The sequence below is a fragment of the Homo sapiens genome, chromosome 16, assembly GCF_000001405.40.
Source record: "Homo sapiens chromosome 16, GRCh38.p14 Primary Assembly".
NCBI lineage: Eukaryota > Metazoa > Chordata > Mammalia > Primates > Hominidae > Homo > Homo sapiens.
The window spans coordinates 65,156,855-65,179,622 of NC_000016.10; the positions used below are offsets into that span (position 1 = coordinate 65,156,855).

Below are 22,768 nucleotides of genomic sequence, written 5' to 3' on the forward strand. Positions count from 1 at the left end.
TCTTAAAAGACATGTATCTGGAATGACCATATTTATGTGCTGGCTGTTCCCTAAATGATAGCAAATGTCCCTTTATCTTTACCAGCTCTTCTGTGTGGGCTGGGGACCAGGGTGGATTGAATGATTGATGGGCTTTATTGGTGAGGGAGGCCCCTAGTTTGACTCCCTTAGGCCAGAACTGAACAGCATAAGCAAAGTGGAGGGTTGATAAATACTCAAATATTTTTGCCCAAGTTACCCTTGAAGCTTCACAACTCTAAACAGATCTGAGGACAGAGGAAATATACTGATATGATTCCACAGAACCCAAATCAAGTTCATAGTCCCATTCCCCTCTGAAGCAGCATAAAGCCCTCCTTTGCCATCTCCTATGGAAAACGCTTGTGGTAAATATCAAGAAACTTGGGGTCAAGTCAAGATTCTGCTATAAAACCCCTGTAACATCAGTTTCCCCACGTGTAAAATGTGGCTTCACTTTTTCATCTGATCACTGCCAAATTAATGATGATCATGTCAGCCAGCTTTCATGAATGAATGAATGTATAAGGGAATCGAGAACAGAAAGGTTTAATAATCTGTCCTCAGGTCTATAGATAGCATGTGACTGAGCCAAAGTTCCAAACAATTTTGGGCGCCACCATACACAATGCTGTCTCTCTAGGGATTTTGACAAGAAATGTTGCACCAAAAGGTTGGAAGTGAAAAGAGGAAGACTTCTGCCTGCCCACGTCATGAAATTTTCTTCTCTAAATTTTTGCTTTTTTATTATTCCTTGAACAATCCTTAATTCACCCTGTCTATGCACATAGTATAATAGTTTAACTTATGCTCAACTTCTTTTCCTTTTATTTGTCCTGGTGCACCCTTAGCTGGTCATCCAGTGACATCTTACCTTCATTATCACTGCTGTGTCCTTAAACTTTCCATCCAAGCAGATGGAAATTTCCATCCATGCAGATGGAACATAACAAGAGACAGCCAAAATACAAACAGAATCACATCTCAAGAATTGCCCATGGGAAGAAGATGGAAGTCACATCAGATCATCTTGGACTTACATTTCATTCTCCTATATTTTTTATTCCTATGGACATAGACACACAAATATAGGTTAGGAACCCCACTTAAGAGAAGCCTTGAGTTTTTATATATTTTTTCACACCTCTGGCCAAACCTTCTCCTGATCACCTTACCTTGTGAATCAACCAGGAGTCTCTCTCCCTTTCTACAACATGCAATGAATCCCAAAGCAGGAACAACAACCACAGAAATTAACTGTGAACTGTGCTTCTTTTTATGTTCTGTTGGCAAGGCTAAAGTGCAAAGCTCTATACCTTGCTTAGAGTTATAACAACAAGAAGGCCTAGGAAGCCTGGATCCCTGCTTTGAAAATCAAGACTTATCTACGTCAAGTACTTTATTACATCTAGTTAAGAATACTTCCCTGGCTGGGCACAGTGGCTCACGCCTGTAATCTCAACACTTTGGGAGGCCGAGCCGGCTGGATCACTTGAGGTCAGGGGTTCGTGACCAGCCTGGCCAACAGAGTGAAACCCTGTCTCTTCTAACAATACAAAAATTAGCCAGGTGTGGTGGTGCATGCCTGTAATCCCAGCTACTCAGGAGGCCTAGGCAGGGGAATGGCTTGAACCTGGGAGGCGGAGGTTGCAATAAGCCGAGATCGTGCCACTGCACTCCAGCCTGGGTGACAGAGCAAGACTCCATCTCAAACAAAGAAACAAACAAAAAAAGAATACTTCCCTAATTAATGAAAGTAATTTTGGCTCCTGTGATAATATTGAATTAGCAAACTATCCAGCCCATCAAACTTACTTCTTTCACTGAGTTGCATCTTTCCATGAGTAACCTTGCTCTGCCTCACACCCAGTGCCCTTAGAATTCTAAGAGTCATCTTACCTTTACTGTATCCAGCATATAGCAAATATATTCAACAATAAGGATAAATGGTGAGGGGAGGGGGACCTCAGCACCCTCCTCCCCTCACTATTTATCCTTATTATTTTTCAAACAGCCTCAAGGAGCCTCAAGGAGCCACACACTTTAAGACCCTTACTTGACATATTGTTCTAGTCATCTTCAAGTTGCCATGTTGTCACCAGAATGGTGTCCTTAAAAATATATCTGTAGAATGATACTTTCCAAAGTCTGCAAATGGGTGGAGGGATGAAGAGAGGTAGGTTAATGAGTACAAACATAGAGTTAAATAAAAGGAATAAGTTCTAGTGTTTGATGGCACTGTAGGGTGACTCTAGTTAACAATGTTATGTTATATATTTAAAAATAGCTAGATGTGAAGATTTAAAATGTTCCCAACACCAATAAATGATAAACATTGAAGGTGATAGATGCTCTAAACTTCCTGATTTGATCATTACACATTGTACGCATGTATCAAAATATCACATGTACCCCATACAAATGTATAATTATTATATATATCAATAAATTTGTTTTGAATATGATTATTTTCCTTGTTTTTTGCAAACTCCAAGTGGATAGTTCACCTCCCCAGCCTTATCCTTGTCATTCACCCATTGGTACCCTCCACCCCAAGACCAAGTCCCTGAAAGTAGCCTCTCAGCACAATGCTGCCTTCTACTTGCCAGCCTATGATCTTGCTATTGCAGCAACCTGGCATAGCTTCCCTGCTTTATCTAGCGAGGAGGTCCCTACTTGTCTCCAGCTTTCAGCTCATGCCATCTCCTTTGTGAGGTGAGATATATATATAAAACATCAGATAAAATGGCACACTTGTAACCTTTCCATGTACTCTAACATGGCACCTCTACCATCACATTGAATTTATTTGTACAAGATTTGGTTTCCTCCATTATACTGTGGTTTTCTTGGCATCATGCCTCATCTTAATTTGTATCTTTAGTGTCCAACACAGGGTCTGGTATTTAGAAAGTATCAAATAAATATTTGTGGAATAAATCAACAGAAGCACAACTCATTTTCCTCATTTCCTGTCATCTGCCTCAGAACAACCCTTTCAGATACTCTAAAAAATTATTTCCATTGTCTTAGATTCTGCAATAACTCAGACATCCTGTCTATAACACTTATTAATCATAATAACTTTGAAATAATTTCTCTGTGCAAATATTCAGGGGCTCATCCATAACTAAGTGAAATACAGCCTGAAATAATCAATCATTATTTTCTAAACCAAAGATCCTGTAATTAAGGAGTCTATCAATGTGCCAACAACTTATGGGTCTAGGCATTAATTTTTGTTTGTTAAAGGACCTTAAAGATAATGTAATATGAGCCCATTGTGAAATGGATTAATAAATTGCTTGTCTCATTTCACTTGTTCATTTCTATATAAATTCTGCAAGAAAGAAGGAAAGTTGTGCAGTTTTATTTCTTTAAAAATTTGACATGATGCACACTTTCTTGCAAAATCAGAGGAATCATCATGGTATTTGTCAACTGTGTGGAAGGTGGAAGTGAACACCTGCACACTATGTCACATGATATAGATAATTTCTTTTTATCCTTTGTTGAGTTTATTCTTCAACAAATACGGACTAAATGCCCTCTTTATGGCATGCACACATTGCTATTGCTTTTTTGGAGATGATACAAACTGAAGCCTGGAGGCTGGGTCTGAGTTACCCTAGGCTTCTCATTCAGTAACAGGCAGCATCAGAATCAGAACTCAGGTTTGACTCCAGGGCCCATGTCCATTCTTTCACACCTTCAGTCGTTATGCATTTGATTCTAAGGCCCTATGTGATATATTGCTCGATGCTTTTTCTTTGAAGCAGTTAAAGGCAAGTTGAAGGAAATCCCACAGAGGCCAACACTCTTATGAAAAGATCCACTTGACACATAACTAAAGCATCTGAGCTGAAACAGGACTTGGCAATCATCTGCTTGATCTCTTTCATTTGAAAGATGAATTAAATCCATTTAAAGATGAATGAACAAACATTCAATGTGTATCTTCTATAGCCCATTCATTTATTTTATTTGCTCAACCAATATTCATGGAACACCTACTATATGAGACACAGTGCTAAACAGGGGTTAAAATATTAAACAAGGCCAGGCACTGTGGCTCACGCCTGTAATCCCAGGACTTTGGGAGGCCGAGATGTGCAGATCACCTCAGGTCAGGAGCTCAAGACCAGCCTGGCCAACGTGGTGAAACCTTGTCTCTACAAAAATACAAAAATTAGCTGGGCATGATGGCGGGTTCCTGTAATCCTAGCCACTTGGGAGGCTGAGGCGGGAGAATCGCTTGAACCCGGGAGGCAGAAGTTGCAGGGAGCAGAGATCACACTGTTGCACTCCAGCCCGGGTGACACAGTGAGATTCCATCTCAAAAACAAACAAACAAACATTAAACAAGACAGACTTGCTTTTAAGTGCTCATGGAACTCAAAATTTTCATCAGAGTAATGGGATGAGACAAAGTTACACGGAAACCCCCTGAGTTACTGTAAATGTAGGGCCCTTGCAAGTCCACCCTCACCCACCTTATCTGAGTGACAAGGTCCTTTAGCACATGCATGCATCTATTGTTTGTGGATGTAAGGTTAAACACCCATTGCCTCTCCTAGACTTCAAGCTCCCTGAGGTCAAGAACGTCTTGCTGATGAGGGAACATCAGGAACTCCTTGTGTTCTCAATATGTTGACAAAATGAATGAATAAATGAAAACATTTGCCATTCATTTTGGTGGAAAGCGAGTTTCCTTCTCAATGCTAAGTTACATGAATTGAACATTAATGACAGTATCAGCAAAAATGAGGGATTTTATGCAGAGAGTGACAAGGGCTTTGATATAAGGGACTCACCAGCTGAATGCAGACCAATGTGGAGAGGAACAAATAGAAGCAAATCAGCAGAACTCAGGCAACACAAGAAAAGGTAAGTTCAAAAGAAACTTCAGTGGATACAATTGTCCCTGACAGTGCTGGCTGATGGAGTTGAATAGTTTTCTGATGAATAGGGAGTTAGAAGTTTGTATCAAGAATATAATCAGGATCTCTTTTGGGTTGCTTTACATAATTACACTTGAGATAATGATACAGTAAACTGTATGTAGTTCTCACCCCGACAGTCTTTATCTACTCAATCAACAAATATTTTAAAATTGTTTACTGCCTGTTAAACACTAGTATATATTAACAGCAGTGCTTCTGAGTAATGGATTAAGTAATTTTTGACTGAATATTTTACTGTTGCTGCACATATCTGAATAAAGCAATCTCTCCAGATATTGTTGGAGATGGGCATATGTATTTTGAGGACTTTAGCTGACAACTGGAGCCCAGATTGAACAAAACTAGTTAAGTCACCTTGCTTTCAGAATGTTACCTTTGGACAAACCCTGTATCTTGTGCGGGTGTGCCAGATGTTACCGTTTCTCATTTAATCTTGACATCATTTCTCCCTATGACGGCCAGATTTATCTTCCAAAATTCATTTGCATTTTAAAACCAAGCTTTTATTTCTGAACATAAAAATGAGATGTTCACTACATAAACTTTGGAAAGTACAGAAAACTTCACAAAAAGAGAAAATTGTTGCTTATAGATTACTATATGTCCAGGTGATTTCCTTTTTTTTTTTTAATGTAACAGATTTCTCAAAACAGATCTTAGTATCCTTGTATTAATTTAATTATTTATTTTGGTTCTATAATAACTTCCTTTTATTTATGTTTTTAAATGGACAGTGAAGATTGTATGCATTTACTGTGTACAACATATTGTTTTGAAGTTTACAGACATTGTAGAAAGACTAAATCTAGCTAATTAACATATAATTAATAAGCATTTCTACATGTTCACGTCATTTTTAAAATGACTATACATAATAAAGACACTATACTTATTAAGCACTTCCTACTTGCTAGAAACTATTCTAAGAGGCTGAAATTTGCTAATTTTTCAATCCCTAAGACAAAGCTGTGAAATAGGTTTTTCATTTTATTATGAAATTAGCTTCATTTTACAGATGGAAGAATTAAAGCCATGAAAGTATCAATAAGTTGCTCATTTGGGAGGCTGAGATGGGCGGATCACGTGGTCATGAGTTCCAGTCCCACCTAGCCAATATGGTGAAAAACCCGTCTCTACTAATAATACAAAAATTAGCCAGGCATGGTGTCGTTCGCCTGTAGTCCCAGCTACTCGGGAGGCTGAGGCAGGAGAATCAATTGAACCCAGGAGGTGGAGGTTGCAGTGAGTCGAGATCGCACCGCTGCACTCCGGCCTCGTGACAGAGCGAGACTCCGTCTCAAAAATAAATTAATAAAATAAAATATAAGTTGCTCATGGTCACACAGCTCATTGAAGGTACAGCCAGACTATGAATCCAGATAACACAACTGAGAGTTTACATCTTAACCACTAGGACTCATTGCCTTCTATGTGCACTAGCCTATGACACTGATAAACCCTAATTGTGCAAAATGTGTGCATAGTTTTTTTAAAAGAAATCACATAGGTCTATGAGTAACAAAATTCAGTAAACCTTCCTCAATCTGGCATTTTTCTCCCAGAAACAACTGTTCACAAATCTCTTAATTGTTTTCAATTATTCTATTCACCTTTCTATTTCTAAATAATATGCTAATGCTTATTTTCTTTTTTTATCTTTAGATATCATCTATCAATTTTCTAGCATGAAGATGAGGTTCAGTTCTTTCATACTCACTGTCCCTTGTCAAACATTCTCTCTTTCTCTCTTCTTTCTCTTCCCTCTTCCCGAGCCCTCTCCTTTCTCTCTTTCTCTGATTTCCTAAAAATATAATATTTTGTGTAAGTCAACATTCAGTGTTTATTATGTTTACTTTTGAATGCATATACACAGTGTTTATAACTATCACAATATATGATAAATGTACTTCCTTTCTTGAAAAATACTCTCCCCCCAGAAATAATAGTTGCCTGGTAAAATTTTGAGGGAATTGTCATTTAATTTTTTGCCTCTTTATCAATGATACATCTCCTGAATCTCTGACAAAATGGCAAAATCTCCTCTCGACATGGTCTAGACCATCAGTTCCATTTTCTTTTCTGGAAGACAGCCTCACTGAAGCCTCCATCCTGCTCCAATATGGACTGGTTGCTCTCAAAGTTCTCTATACAACTGTGGTTTGAGACATCTCTTCACCTTCAGACTGGATATTCCCTTTGCCTCTCTCCTGTTAAGTGTCTGTCATCTCCTCTATGTCAAGTCTTCATCTTTCTTGACTCACTCTTTCATGCTGGTGGTATATCTCTTCCAGAGGCTTCATGAGATGGTGCATGGTACATCTAATATTTTAAGATTGCATGTCTAAAAATATCGTCTTAAAACTCTCTCACACTTGGTTGCTGGTTTGCTTGGATATAGGATATTAGGTTGAAAATAATTTTACCTTAAAGTTGTGAAAGTATTTCTTCAGGTCTTAAAGATTTAGCTGCTGCTGAGTTATTATTCCAAATTCCTTCTGTGCTCCTTTTCCCCCTCTCTGTAATCTTTTGGGATTATTTCTTTAGCCTCATATTATGAAATCTCAGGATGACATCTCTTGTATTCATTTCCCATTAAATATGCTGGGCACTCAATATAGCTTTATATCGGAAATAAGTCAGTTAGTCATGAAACATTTTCTTAATAATTTCTTTAATAATTTTTCCATTTCATTTTTACTATTAATTCTTCTTAAAACATCTACACATTAAATATTAAACTGTGGAAAAGAACCTCTATTTGTGTCTTTTCTCCCCCTTTCCTCTGAGGGATCCTTAACTCTTCCAGTCCTTCTAATTTTACTTCTGATGTGGTATTTTTAATACAAGATATTTTTCCCATTTATATATATTCCTTTTCTGTAACATTTATTTCATGAATTCATTATCTGCTCTGATCTCCCTGATGATATAAATAAGGAATTCTTCACTCACAGCATTTTTCTGTTTGCTTCAAGTGCACTATTTTCCCCCTACATATGTCTATTTATCTGGTGTCCGTCATTCTTGTTCGTGATGTCACTAAAGTGGTGATGTTCACTGACAGTCATTCACATCTTAAAATGAGAACCAGAGGGCTGATTAAAAGTTTCACGTACTGGGGGGAGATTAATTTATGAAAGCCATTGTATGGGTGATAAGGTAGAAATACAGCTGTTTCGTTGAGAGGATTTCAAATGTCAAAATCTATTTTTATTGTGTTGTGTTGTGTTGTACTGTATTGTATTGTATAGGATTGGATTGTATCCTATCCTATCTATCCATCTATTCACTCATCTATCCATCTATTTATTTACTTTTTTTCTATTTCTCTTGAGCTGGTCAGTTTTTCTAGTCAAAAAATAAACTCAGCCAGGTGCAGTGACTCACACCTGTAATCCCAATAGTTTGGGAGGCCGAGGCAGGTGCATCACCTGAGGTCAAGAGTTTGAGACCACCCTGGCCAACATGGTGAAACCCTGTCTCTACAAAAAATACAAAAAATTAGCCAGGTGTGGAGGCCTGTGCCTGTAGTCCCAGCTACTCTGGAGGCTGAGACACGAGAATCACTTGAACCTGGGAGGTGGAGGTTGCAGTGAGACAAGATCATGCCATTGCCCTCCAGCCTGGGTGACAGAATGAGACTCTGTCACAAAACAACAACAACAACAAAACAAATAAACAAACAACAACCAAAAAAACCCACCTCATATCTCCAAGAATTCTAAGATTGCTTATCAAAATTATAGGAGCCAAGTGAGGAAAGGGGGTTGGAGGTGGCGTCTCACCTCTCAAGTCTGTAGAGATTCACTTACTCTCTTCCTTTTTGGTATGATGCCTCATTTATATCCTTATCTGTGCCTGGTAGCCCAAGGCTGGAGTTTCTGGTTCATTTTCTCTAGGTATCAAACTTACAGTCTTCCACTGAAGTTGGTAAGTGTTGGTTACCTGGTCTCCCTAAATGGTAGACGTGACTTGAGGATCTGAGCGACTTTACATAAAGTCATATGAAAAACTCCTCTGAGTTTGATTCTGCAACTCATTCTGCCTTCTGAGACAACTGGAGTGTCTAACTTCAGGGGCTTTCTTAAGTTCTCAGATACAAAGGGGCTTGCGCTTCCTGGATTCCCCAGCTGCTTCCATTTTAGGAAGTCAGTTTTCACTCTTTCATCAGTTTTCTATCTTCTAAATCTGTGTTTTCATCACTTTTCTACTTTGATTTTCTGTCTTGTTCTCTTTGACTTTTTAGGCTTTTGCCTCTTTCAGGCTTTTCTTGTCATTTTAGTGAAAAGTTGGGAGGGATCAGTGACAAACCCAGATATTCCTTCACCCATTTTTAGCTGGAAATCCATAACAGCATTTCCAGGTGATTATTGTCCCATTTCACAGATAAGGCAACTGAGGTAAAGAGAATATTTAGCATACTTAAGGTCATAAATTGAGTGAATGAGCCTGTGAATTTGGTGCTCTTTCCCGGGGAGTAGCTGACTCTTGCCTTAATCCTGGGCTCTATCCAGCTAAGCAGTCATTATTCTCCTTAGATCTAACCAACAAGCTCCAGCCCTAGATTTATGAGTCTGCTCTGAACGCTAAAGTCTGAAGAAAGATATATGTGATTTCCAAAGTTTCATGCTCATCCCTTAAATAGATCTTTAATTTATTGCCTTGAAATCCAAATAAATAAAATATTGTATATGAATGATGTAATGGCTTCGGGCCAGAGCTCCCTGTGATCCTGCGACAAATTTTGGATTGGTGTTGCCATAAAACGTCCCTGCCCACACCTCAAAACCACACATAAGCCGTCATTAATCTCTCCGCTTACGAGTTGTGTTGCTATCTCAGATTGATTCAAAAATATTTGGGTGTGGGTGCATACAAAGAGTTCACAACATTGTTATATGAACTGTAGTAGATGTTTAAAAGTTAAGTAAAAGAAAAAAATGAGTTAATGCTGAATATCAGAGTCCAGGGAGATCATACTGATTCCTTTGTTTACATTTAGACATTCTGCGATCAATCTTTACTTTTTACCTTACTTTTTTCTCCTAAACATTTTATTATAATTTTTTTCAAAAATATGGCAAAGTTGAGAGCATTTTACAGTGAGCAATCATCTCTTCCACCTACTTTCTACCATAAATATTTTACTATACTCATTTTTAAAATCACGCATCTATATATCCCTCTGTCCATCCATCAATTCATTTGTAACACATTTCAAAGTAAATCTCAGATACCTGTACACTTTCCCTAACTACTTCAGTGTGCACATTATTAACTAGAGTTGATTATTTATTTACAATATTTTTCTTTCATGTCAAGATTTATACATAACAAAATGCAAAAATCCAGTTTCCATTCATTGAGATTTTACAAAAGCATTTATTTCTTGGTCTTTCATTTTCTCTTGTAGTCTATGCATTTATTTAATTCAATAGATGTTATTAAACACATCCCATGTGCCAAACATTTATAATGACACACATTAATATGATGTATGCTAGACAGAGGAGACAGTGGCTAATTCTCATGTTGGAAGTCAGGGAGTTAAGCAACAGAGAGAGAGAGAGATGTTACAAAAAGCATTTATCACTGAATTAACCCATGAACAAAATTGAAAAGAATGAGAAAATATGGTGTGTTTAGGGCAAAATGCATTGTCTTTTGTAGCCTGAGCCTAATGAGAGTATGCATGTGTAGGAGGGTGGTGAGTAAGAGACGTAATTATTTTAAAAATTCAAAATTCAAAACAACATGTATTAAAAAGTTGGCAATAAATGAAGTGCTTCATACTATAGCACTGAACTTATGAGAAAGCCTGCTCTTCTTCAGCTGTTCCTTCTTGAACCAAAATGACAAACTGACAACTCAGATTTTAGCCTGTTTTATTTCATTGATAAACTGCTAAAATTTAGATTTAATGCATGTTTGATTTCTGACTTTTGAAATTTGTTTGAAATGTTTGAAAATTGACTACACATTTGCTCCCAAATGTCTTAATATAAATGTTTGGAGGAAACAACCAAGTGAGTATTCTAAAGTGTGAAAAGATCACTATGAAAAATGCTTCATTATTTAAATCAAACTATAAATGAGTTTGCCACAAACTGGAAAATAAGGAGAAATATTAAGACTCAAAATAAAGCCTTAAAATAGTAAAAAAAAAAAAAATGAAAAAAAGAAAACTTTTTCTTAAATTTGTGGATTTATGACTATGAACATGACATGGTGCAAACCTTGTCATCATTCATTCATTGACCCAATATGCTCTGATGACAGATGCATAAGAGGGGCTGTGTGTGTGTGTTTCCCTAAAGAGGACACTATTTTTCTGACTCTCCAATTAACTCTCTGACTTCTCTGTACTACTCCTGGTTTAGGATCTCACGTCAGACAACATTCTCTACCTGCATCATTATTTTATCCATCTATCCTGAGTGATTTGCACTTCTGTGATAATGACTACTGTATTGTACTGCTATATAATATGTAAAAATTTAAAAAAAAATTGAGGGAGAAAATGAGCTTTGGTTATTTATTTATTTATTTAGAGACAGAGTCTCGCTCTATCACCCAGGCTGGAGTGCAATGGCACAATCTCGGCTCACTGCAACCTCCACCCCCCGGGTTCAGGCGATTCTCCTGCCTCAACCTCCCGAGTAGTTGGGATTACAGGCATGTGCCACCACACCGAGCTAATTTTGTATTTTTAGTAGAGACGGGGTTTCTCCATGTTGGTCAGGCTAGTCTTGAACTCCTGACCACAGGTGATCCAGCCGCCTTGGCCTCCCAATGTGCTGGGATTACAGGTGTTAGCCACTGCGCCCGGCCTATTTATTTTTAATCTTGAAGTGCTAACACCATCCCTGGTGCAGAATATAAGTATGTGATCAGTAAATCTTTCTTATGCTGATATATATTATTCAGGCAGTGAATATTAAATTAGTTCAGAGAACAATGTATATTATTGAAGAGGGAGTAGTCAGGGGGAGTTTTTTTGGGGGGATAAGGAAGGATGGGTGGAGAGCCAGAGTAGGGGCTAAGAAATCAAAGATGGCTATAACTGCACATGCAAGGGAATAGGGATGTACGTAAACATGGTTCATTTGAGATCAGCAGGAATGTTCCCTTTTGGCACTGATGCAATTTATTTTACTTTATTCCCTCTTTCACGCCAGAATTTCAGTTTTAGCCTCCTTCTTTCTCTTTGACATTGAACAGAAGGGGAAGAGGAAGGAATTCAAGATAACTGGTCAGAAGGTACTGTTTTCCATCAGGCACACTCATCCACTCATCCATAAACCCATTCATTTTTCCCATTTATCTCATCCAGTTGTCTACCTATCAAGTCAAACTTGTACAAGTAAACCTAGTCTCATCCAAAAGAACAATGGATATCTAATTCAAAAAGGAGTAAAAATGATGTCTTCTGGCTGGAAAATGAATTGAAGAGTTAAATTAGCTAGACAACAAAGGGTTGGCAGAAAGAGGTACAGTCACCAGGCAATAAATCACTCTACCAATATCAATAACAATTAATGTATTGAGGAATTTGCAAATAGCTATAACTAGTGCCAGATCATTCTCCATGCAGTGAGAGAGCACAAAGAGTCTAACCACTCCTTAAGACACCTCTGCCAGCCCAAAGCCTTCTGATGTCTCTCTCAAATATTACTGATGTTCAGTCACAAAAATTTACTTGGAAAAATAATCCACCATTATAATGGGCTACACAGACCCACATATGAGTAAAGAGCCTATTTATTCAGCTACTGAAAATGCTGCTGGAAAATACCTTTCAGCAACCAGTTATCTTTGGGAAGAGCCTTGGCGGAAGAGTACTGCCTTGCCCAACTGGTGCAGCATGCATCCAATGTCTCGTTGACACAGGAGTGTGAAGACCTATTTCTTCACTCCAACTCTAAAAGGCCATCCCAGCTTCAGATGTCCTCATGACATCACTCGAATCCTTTGTTAAAACTACCTTGCATCTTCATCACTCCATCTACCCAATTTTTCCTTCCCTATCCTTTTGTAGGTGTTGATTCCAAGAGTACTCTATAATAAAGTAACTGCAGCATTCATCTCCATCTCAGGGAATCAAACCTGCAGTAGAAACGAAGACCTATAGGGGAGCTTTCCAAGGGAGGCTCAGACAGATGCAGATGATCTACTGAGGCCCCGTAGTCACATCCTGCCTATGCAGAAAGTAATTCATAGTTCTCTGAGATCAGCCTAGTGAAAGCCACACTAACAAAACAGCTTCATTCAAAATTACCTTATAAGCAGGAGGCTCAGAGAATCAACACTCCAAGACAAGGGTGATCATACCACATTAATTAATCCAATGTCTTTAATTTACTATGAGGAAATGAAAGTCCATAGGAAATCACTGATGGGGCAGAACAAGGAATTCTGCCATTAGTTTTATGATCCCTCAATATGTCTTCCTGTTTTATGTGTACTAACTAGAAAATTGTTACTCTTAGGATGTCAGGAACAAGGGGGACTATAATAATTAGGGCTTGAGTATCACTTGAGTCTTCACGCCATCATGAGTAGGAGCTCACCAAAGGAAACTGTTTAGTATCTCAGGTCAGGTCATGTAGGAAGTTAGCTAATAAGTTAGCTAATAAGATTTTTCAAATCTTATTCTGTGAGACACACTGTAATCTGGTAACTATTCCCCCATGTGGGCTTCTATCAACACATCTATATTTCCACCCATTCTTTTACAACTCTTTCTAGATATGATTGTGGGCAATCATTTGGATTCACATCAATATTTTCTTGTTACTACACCCATTTTCCCCCTGCTTTCCTCACCACATGTGTTACTGACAGTTCTTTATATTATTTAATGATATTTGTTCAAAGATATTTAACAAGGAAACCTGATCTGGAACTAGGACCCAGAACTTCCAGTCCTGAAATTTTGATTCCAGTAAATTGATGTAGAAACCAAAGGCACAGGTAAAAATAAGAAGTTAGAAAGGTGAGGGTTTGATTAGTAAAAGAAAATAGTGCAGTTTTACATATACAGGTATAAAGGGGGGGACATATTGTAAATTATTTTTAATGCAAGGCTAAAAATTGGAAAGTTAATCGAGTGTTCAATGGGAGCCAATAAGTGTTTTGAAGATCATGAGAATCTGTTGGCTGTATGATTTATTGGAGAAGAGAAAGTTTGGATGTGGAAAGTGAGCTAGGGAGACCGTTGCAAGTTTAGGAATGAAGCTATGGGGATTTGCAGATAAAATTAGAAGGAGAGAATGAATGTTAAATGTGTTTGAAAGATTGATTCTAAAAGAAGTAGAGTGGTTAAGTGAAAAGACTCTGGAATTTGGCATTACTAAGGCATGGATTTGCAACATAGGTCCACCACATTTGTTTTGGTATAAACATCTAAACCTCATTTTCCCTAATAAAGTGGGTATATAAAGCTTACTTCACATGGAAAGTATTGATACCCTACAAATGCTGGTTCTAATACTATGATTTTGAGAGAGGGCAGGTAGGGGATCCAGAATGACCCCCAGGTATCTCACTTAGATGAATGGATTGGTGAAGATGGATTTTCCTGAAATAATAATAATAATAAACTGGGAAGAAGGATTGGAGAGGTTTCAATTCAATTTTGAAGCAGTTGGTTTGGAGGTACTTTCACAACACCAGTTGGAGATGCCCAGGTATTGACTGGATATATGAGTATGAATTAGAGGAGCATCATCTCGCTGAAGAGACAGATTTGGGCAATGACTCATAGAGATAAATAAAAATGGACACCAAGTAGTGACTGGCAGAATAAACGATGTGAATCCTTAAGTCTAAATCTTGTGAAACAATAAGGATTGCAGTTTGGGAAATGGGATGGAAGGTTATACACACACACACACACACACACACACAAACACACACACAAACACACACACAGTGAGAGAGCCTTTAGAAAGATATCAATAGAACCAACAACATGGATTATGAAGAAACACAGAGGTGAAAGAAAGAATGTAAAAACAGAATGATATGTAAGCATGTGTGGGTGCATAGGGGTGTAGTCATCGTATACTCCATAACAAAATTTCTAAAACTGGTCTCTACGGAACACCAGTCCCATGAATTAGCTCCGTGAAAGAAAGTAGAAGGAAACTTTGGGTGTTGCTTTAAGCTCTGACAGTCTCAGAGATTCCTAGAGTAAAACACCTTATTAAAGAATCTCAGAAATTTAGCAGTAAAGCAATTTGCTTAAATCAAGTGATATGGTTTGGCTGAGTCCACCCAAATCTCATCTTGAATTGTAGTTCCCATAATCCCCACGTGTTGTGGGAGGAACCCAGTGGGAGGGAATTGAATCATGGGGGCAGTTATCTCCATGCTGTTCTTGTGATAGTGAGTGAGTTCTCATGCGATCTGATGGTTTTATAAGGGGCTTTTCCCCACCTTCACTCTGTACTTCTCCTGGCTGCCACCATGTGAAGAAGGATGTACTTGCTTTCCCTTTCACCAGAATTGCAAGTTTCTGGAGGCCTCTCCAGCCATGCTGAACTGTGGGTCAATTACACCTCGTTCCTTTATAAATTACCTAGTCTTGGGTATGTCTTTATTAGCAGCATGAGAACAAACTAATGCATCAGTGTTTTAGAAATTGCTTCTCATTTTCCTACTCAAACATCTTTCAACAAATTAGAATTATTCAGGACAGAGTGCAGTGAATATTCACCATATGATCAAATTCCTCTAGAAGGGGCCAAAGAGTCACAGGCCTCACGGAAAATAATTGGAATGAATTGGTAGAAGGGAAATGAGATTGTAAGTGATAGAATTAATGCCTGAGAGAAGCATGGGAGGTAACTGTAGGCTTTATTTCATGGAATAAAATAATGGTGATCATTTGTAGGAGTACTATGCTCAAGGGAATTTTTATTATTTTTTTCTTTTTATTTTGAAATAATGATAGACTCACAGGAAGTTGCCAAAATATGTACCAAGAGGTCCTATATGGCCTTCACCAACTTTTCCCCAATGATGACATCTCACATAACTATGGTACAACAAAAACATCAGAAAATTGACATTGATATAAATCACAAGGCTTATTCAGGTTTCACCAGTTTTATATGAACTTGTGTGTGTGTGTGTGTGTGTGTGTGTGTGTGTGTATAGTTATATACAGTTTTATCACATGCGTGGATTTGGGTAAACACCACCACCACCACATTCAATTCAAGACACAGAATGTTTTCATTGCCACAGACTACTTATTTGTCTTATTCTTTTCATCCTTTATATTATCCCACCAATCCCCTACACCAACCCAAAGGTCTGGCAATGACTAATCTCCATCTCCATAATGATTTTCTATTTCAAAAATGTTATATAAATGGAATCATACAGCATGTAATATTTTGAGACTGGCTTTTTTTCATTCAGCATAATTCCCCTGAGATCAACCCAAGCTTCTGTGTGTAGTCGTAGTCCACTCTGTTTTTACTGCTGCATAGTAATTAATGGTATAGATGTACCACAGTCTGTTGAATTATTCACCTGTTGAAAAACATTTAGGTTGTTTATAGGTTTTCCCTAGTATGAATAAAGCTACTATGAACATTTATGTACAGGTTTTTATATAAACTTAAGTTTTCATTTTTCTAGGATAAATGCCATCTGTGACTCCTGAGTTATAAAGTAGTTGTATATCTAGTTTTATGGGAAACTGCCAAACTGTTACCCAGAGTGGTGGTACCATCTCACATGCCCACTAACAATGGATGAGTGATTCAGTTGCTCCTCCAGATTTTCAGCATTTGGTGTTTTCTCTATTTTTATTATTGCCATTCTAATAGGTATGTAATGATATCTCATCATGGTTTTAATTTGAGTTTCTATAACAGCTAGTGAGGAACATCTTTTCGTGTGCTTATCTGCCATTATTTGCTTATATCTTTGGTGAAATGGCTCTAAATGTATTTTGTCCATTTTCTAATTTGAACGTTTTATTAGTTTTTTGTTCTCTTGAGTTTCAAGAGATTTTTATATATTCTAGATACTAATCCTTTTCCAGATACACGGTTCGCCAATACTTTCTCAGAGTGTGTAGCTTGTTTTTTCATCCTCTTGATAGGGTATTTCAAAGAGCAAATTTTTAAAATTTTGACAACAGCCAATTTATCCTATTTTTCTTTTATGGCTTTTGCCTTTAGTATCAAGTCTAAAACATTTTTGTCTAACTCCAGATTTTAATGATTTTATCTTGTTTTTCCTTTTTTTCCAAAAGTTTTATAGGTTTACATATTTTATTTAAGTTTGTGATCTATTTTAAATTGATAATTGCACAAGTTGTGAGTTTAAAGTCCAGATTTAGTTGATGTTGTTATTGTTTTGCCTGTGGATGTCCAAATGCTACATTTGGACTCTTTTGTTTTTTTTCTTTTTCAGACGGAAACTCGCTCTGTCACCCAGACTGGAGTGCAGTGGCATGATCTCAGCTCACAGCAACCTCTGCCTCCCAGGTTTAAGTGATTCCTCTGTCTCAGCCTCCCGAGTTGCTGGGATTACAGGTGCTCACCACCACACCTGGCTATTTTTGTTTGTTTGCTCGTTTTTTGAGACGGGGTTTCACCATATTGGTCAGGCTGGTCTCGAACTCCTGACCTCAGGTGATCCACCCGCCTCGGGCTCCCAAAGTGCTGGGATTACAGGTGTGAGCCACCGCACCTGGCCCATTTGGACCATTTTTAGGCAAGGCTACCCTTTTGTGCTTTTGTCAAAAATCAGTTGGGTGTATTTGTATAGGTTTATATCTGGGTTCCCCATTCTGTGCTACTGGCCTGTGCCCTTCTCTCTGCCAATACCAGTCTGCCTTGATTATTATTGCCATAGAATAGCCTTAACACCAGACAGGATGACTCCTTTACCCTTTTTTTTTTCACAGTTGCTTTATCTGTTCTATGTCTTTTGCCTTTCCATATGGATTTTAGAATAAGCTTGTCTATGTCTACAAAAAACCTTGCTGAGATTTTAATAGGAATTGTATTAAACCTACAGATTAATTTGGGGGAGAATCAACTTTGTATTCTGTTGATTCTTCAAGGAAATGTTTTAAAATATTTTGTTTTATGAAGAGACTTCAGCAGTTTTAGAAAGTGAGGGATTCAAAGGGGGTATGTGTAATTGAAGTGCGTCACTGAGGAAACTGACAGGGGAGGCTTGAGGGTTCAGGTGGAGGGGCTCAGCTGCAAACTCCAAACACTCAGACCAACATAAACTGAAAGGAAGAGAATCCCAGGGAACTCACTGACCAACAATGAGAAGAAAGAAGCTATACTTGACCTTGAAGCCGGACTTCCAGATTCAAAGGGAAATGTAGACTGTATCTAGAAAACCACATCTAGTTCTCATCTCCAGCGTGGTGAGAAGCGAGAATGAAAATGTCTCTGAGAACCCATGTGAACAGGGCTCTGCAATAAATGAACTGCAGTTTAGACTGCAAGAGAGAGAGAAAAAAAATGAATTAGGAAAGCCTGCTGCTTGCTGCTCCAAGAATAAAAGCTGTAGGTGTGGCCTCAGGGGTCCCAGTCTCGCTTCCCTTCCAGTATTCTGCCTGAATCCATCTCTAATGCAAGAGATCACAACTCTCCATCTTTGGGTTTTGCCCAAAGGAACCTGCTGCCTGCCTTTACCACCTGAGTTCATGTCCTCTAACGCTGTGTGATCACCTGTCCAGAATGACTCTCCTCACTCTTGTACCCATTCTTCCTCACTAACAGCTCCCACCTATACTAACCCTGGCCCTGCATTACACGAGCTGCTTAGCTCACCTGCTGATAACTGGCTAAGAGCATAGTATACCTTCATCCGTCAGAGAAATGACAAGAGTTCTGCAGAGAAATGCCTGAAATAGGACTGGTGAGATACTGATCCACATATGGACGTACATGTAGGCTTTCTGGTGGAAACTCACACTCTTTTTTTGTTTGTTTTTTTATTTATACCCACTGCTCCATTTGCATCAAAGTCATAAACCTCCACCTGCTACCACCCACCCCCCCAACACAACGCTTCCTAATTTACAGATTGCAATCTCCTGGTAGCTTTCTCATTTTTTCTTGGTAGGTTTAAAAGCTTGATGCCACCAACTGTTTCTCCCCCATCTGCTTTTCTGTGTTCCTTCGGAGAAGTAAAGCACAGCCTCTTGTTGCACCTAAGCCCCTCCACATATCAAGAAAGCTTACTGTGAGAAGCCTTCGACGAACAGCCTCAGGAATGTAAGGTTTGAAGTGATGCACTCTGGAATGGAAATGCCAGTCGCACCACTCCACACCTTTGCCACCTTTGTCACTTTTCTCTGATGTGCCATCTCTTCATCTGTAAAATGCAAACAAGAATTCTTACCTCATAGTAGTGTTGATGGGATTCTGTGAGATGATGTGCTGGAAATATTCTGAACATGGATAGTGATGATGGTTGCACATTGTGGTCTGGAAACCACCAAATTGTACTCTTCAAAATAATTAAAATGGTGAATTTTATGTTATGTGAAGTTTGTCTCAAAAAAAAAAAAGATTAAAAAAAGTATTTAACACAGAACCCCATAGCCAGAATTCAGCAAATCTCATTACCTCCTCATCAGATGAAAAGTTGCAGCTCCTGACAGAAAGCCTGGGGCCTTTTGCTTTAGACCAAGTGAAAATTTTAGGAGGTAAGTCCTAAAATCCGAGAGCATTCGCTGGGAAATACACAGGGGTAGAGCTGGAAGGACTTTCCATGTCTGCTGATCATCCCAACAGCCTGCTCCCCTCAGCCACAAGGTTCAAGAGGCACCCTTGGCCTGGACTTTCCTGGCTCTCTCGTCCCTCTTAGCCCTGGCCTTGTCCCCAGGGCTCTTCCCTCTGAGAAATGATTGAAGAGTTGGCTTTCAGACGTTGGTCTCCAAACAGCTCCAGAAGCAGCTGGAAGATTTCATGTGGATGATGATTGTTCACACTTTGACCCATTTAAAAAAAAATAAAACTAAAGCGTGGGAGAGGATGGGTCAGTGAAAATAAACGTCTTCTCTGGAAGACATCCCACAGCTGTGTGCTGAGGCAGCACAGTGTGGAGGTATTGGAGCTTCCAATATGCATAGTTGTGGTTAGGAAGAAGAGAAGACGCCGATTCATAGGTCCCCACAGCTTCATGGTGGCTCCAAACCAGGAATTAGAGGTACCTTTCCTTAACACTCGGATTTGTCAGATGCTGAATGCCCTCAGCATTTCAGAGTCGATTGAATTCCTTTCAAAGGTGGGATGACACCAAGAGCAAGTTTGTGGTTACTCCATGGAAGCCTGAGTTGGATAATGTGTTGGGGTTCTGGGTCAGGAAAGTGCACATCAGAATCATGGTTCCACCAGCCTGGGCAACATATTGAGACCCCCATCTCTACACAAAATAAAAATCTTAGCCAAGTGTGCTGGTACATGCCTGTAGTCCTAGCTTCTCAGGAGGCTGAGGAGGGGGCTGACTTGAGATCAGCTGTTAGAGGTTGCAGTGAGATGTGATCATGCCACTCCACTCCAGCCTGAGTGACAGAGCAAGATCCTGTCTCAAAAAAAAAAAAAAAAAAAAAAAAAAAATCATGGTTCCACCACTTACTGATGACCTTCATCAAATCACATGACCTCTCAGGTCCTTAATGTCATAATCTCTGAAATGGTTTGCCTTGCTGTTTCCTTGGGAAGACAAGAAGTCTTGTCTTAATGCGATGAGCTTATAGTGTCTTTCCCATATAAGACCCTATATTCATGGTAATAATAGCACCAGCAGCAATGCCAATCATGTTGATATAGTTAAATCCCCTGATGTTTCATCATCTTTTACCACTTTGTATCACAGAAATGGTCCAAGCAAGGCAGACTTATTTCCAGGTGATGTTTATAGGCATTGTTAACCAAGACAGAGGGAGGGACACCCGGTATCTGGCAGCAAACCAGATTAAAACTACCTGCCATTTAAAGTTTGCAAATAAACTTCTGGGGAATAATAACAGCTATAATAATAATTATGTTGTTGTCAGTAGGATGGTACTCCAAGATACTTGTCATGCTGCCCAGAGCTTTTGTTTTCAAAGAGAGATTATCAGAATAATTGCCAATAGTTATTACAATTTACTTAAAAATTAGCCAGCTCCAGCCTCAGTGATTTCATCAACAGCTCCCTAGAATATATTTCTGTGCTTCACCTTGAAAAGACAGGTGTGATCCAAAGATTAAAACCATAGGATAAAATCACCTTCAGTCTTACCCATCCTAACTTGGGAACAATTGTTCAGGCTCAGCATTATCATGGAAATAAAAATCCCCGTACCACAAAAGAAAGGGTAAGTTGAGCTTTGATACACAGGCAGCCTTAGGAAAGACTCTAAATCTTAGAAGACATAAAAATCAAACAGAACTGAGGTGAGTTCGGTACAAGAACTGCTCAACTGAGAAGGTCAAGAAGGCAGGAAATGATGAGGAATCATGACTGGGAGCCAGTGACCCAAAATGAGATCAGCAGGAATGTGGCTGTGAAAATACAGTCCTGCAGGGATGAGTTCTTTTGAAAGGTCTTTACGCCTGACATTGGGGCTCTCAGTGTAACACTAGCAACCTGATATTGGACCCAGATCATAAATAGAAATGTCCCCTTGCATGTCTCTACTCCCTAATTAGTGCTTAATGGAATCGATTAGGTAATGAGTGCAGGTCATCAGGGAATCAAGGACCATGTTCCCTGACAGGGACACAGAAATATGCCTTATAACACTTGCTACTTCCTTCCAAGATAAACAGAGTTAACAATTTGATGTATGTTCCTCAAGACCTACTGTATTAATCTGTTTTCATGCTGTTAATAAAGACATACCCAAGACTGGACAATTTATAAAGGAAAGAGGTTTAATGGGCTCACAGTTCCACATGGCTGGGGAGGCCTCACAATCATGGTGGAAGATGAATGAAGAGAAAAGGTACATCTTAATTGGCAGCAGACAGGAGACAGCATGTGCAGGGGAACCATCAGATCTTGTGAGACTTATTCACTATCACAAGAACAGCACAAAAAACCTGCCCCCATGATTCAATCACCTCCCACTGGGTCCCTCCCATGACATGTGGGCATTATTACAATTCAAGGTGGGATTTGGGTGGGGACACAGAACCAAACCACATGATCTACAATGCAGTCTGAAATTTAAAAGCACTATCTAAGGCTCCAGCATTCCTAGGGTTCAATCTTGGCTCTGCCACTAACAGGGTGAGTTTGGTCAAATAACTCTATGTCCTGATTTCTTCATGTGTAATATGGGGTGATACTGCTCTGCTACTCTTTAGCAATTTTATGAAGATTTAATAAATGGATTAAACAATCCAAGTAAAGAAAGAGGAGGGGCTCGGTAAATTGTATAGACACAACGGCTATCTTCCCACATGAGAATATAGATGAGACCATTATTTTTAACCACTCTAGAATATTATATTTTATGGATGAAACATGGTTATTTAGCCAATCCCATATGTAAGCATATTATCATAACTTCCATTTTTTTCCTTTCAAACAATGCTAAAATAATCACTCTTGCACCCATTATCTTTATACCTTTACATAAATATTTTTGATTAATAAATTCTTTGAAGTGTAGTGCATTAAATATCTATCATCGAGTTGTCCTCTAAATATTCTTTGAATCTTGGTGGGTGAAGGGGGTTGTCTAGAAGGACCAAGACATGTTTGTGAAAGGAAGAACTCTCTTGAGGGGATAATTTTACAGA

At 38.8% G+C, this 22,768-nt stretch overlaps 1 long non-coding RNA gene across 1 annotated transcript in view; it reads right to left on the bottom strand.

Annotated features, from left to right (window-relative positions):
- The window catches only part of LINC02126 (long intergenic non-protein coding RNA 2126), a 34,818-nt gene extending 15,099 nt beyond the window's left edge, over window positions 1-19,719 (bottom strand). Inside the window, exons 1-3 of the long non-coding RNA NR_110918.1 lie at window positions 19,601-19,719; window positions 19,214-19,346; window positions 18,312-18,465 (exon numbers count right to left, since the gene is read on the bottom strand). This is a non-coding gene — a long non-coding RNA (long intergenic non-protein coding RNA 2126). The remainder of the gene's footprint in view (window positions 1-18,311; window positions 18,466-19,213; window positions 19,347-19,600) is intronic.
- Between the last annotated feature and the right edge of the window lie 3,049 nt (window positions 19,720-22,768).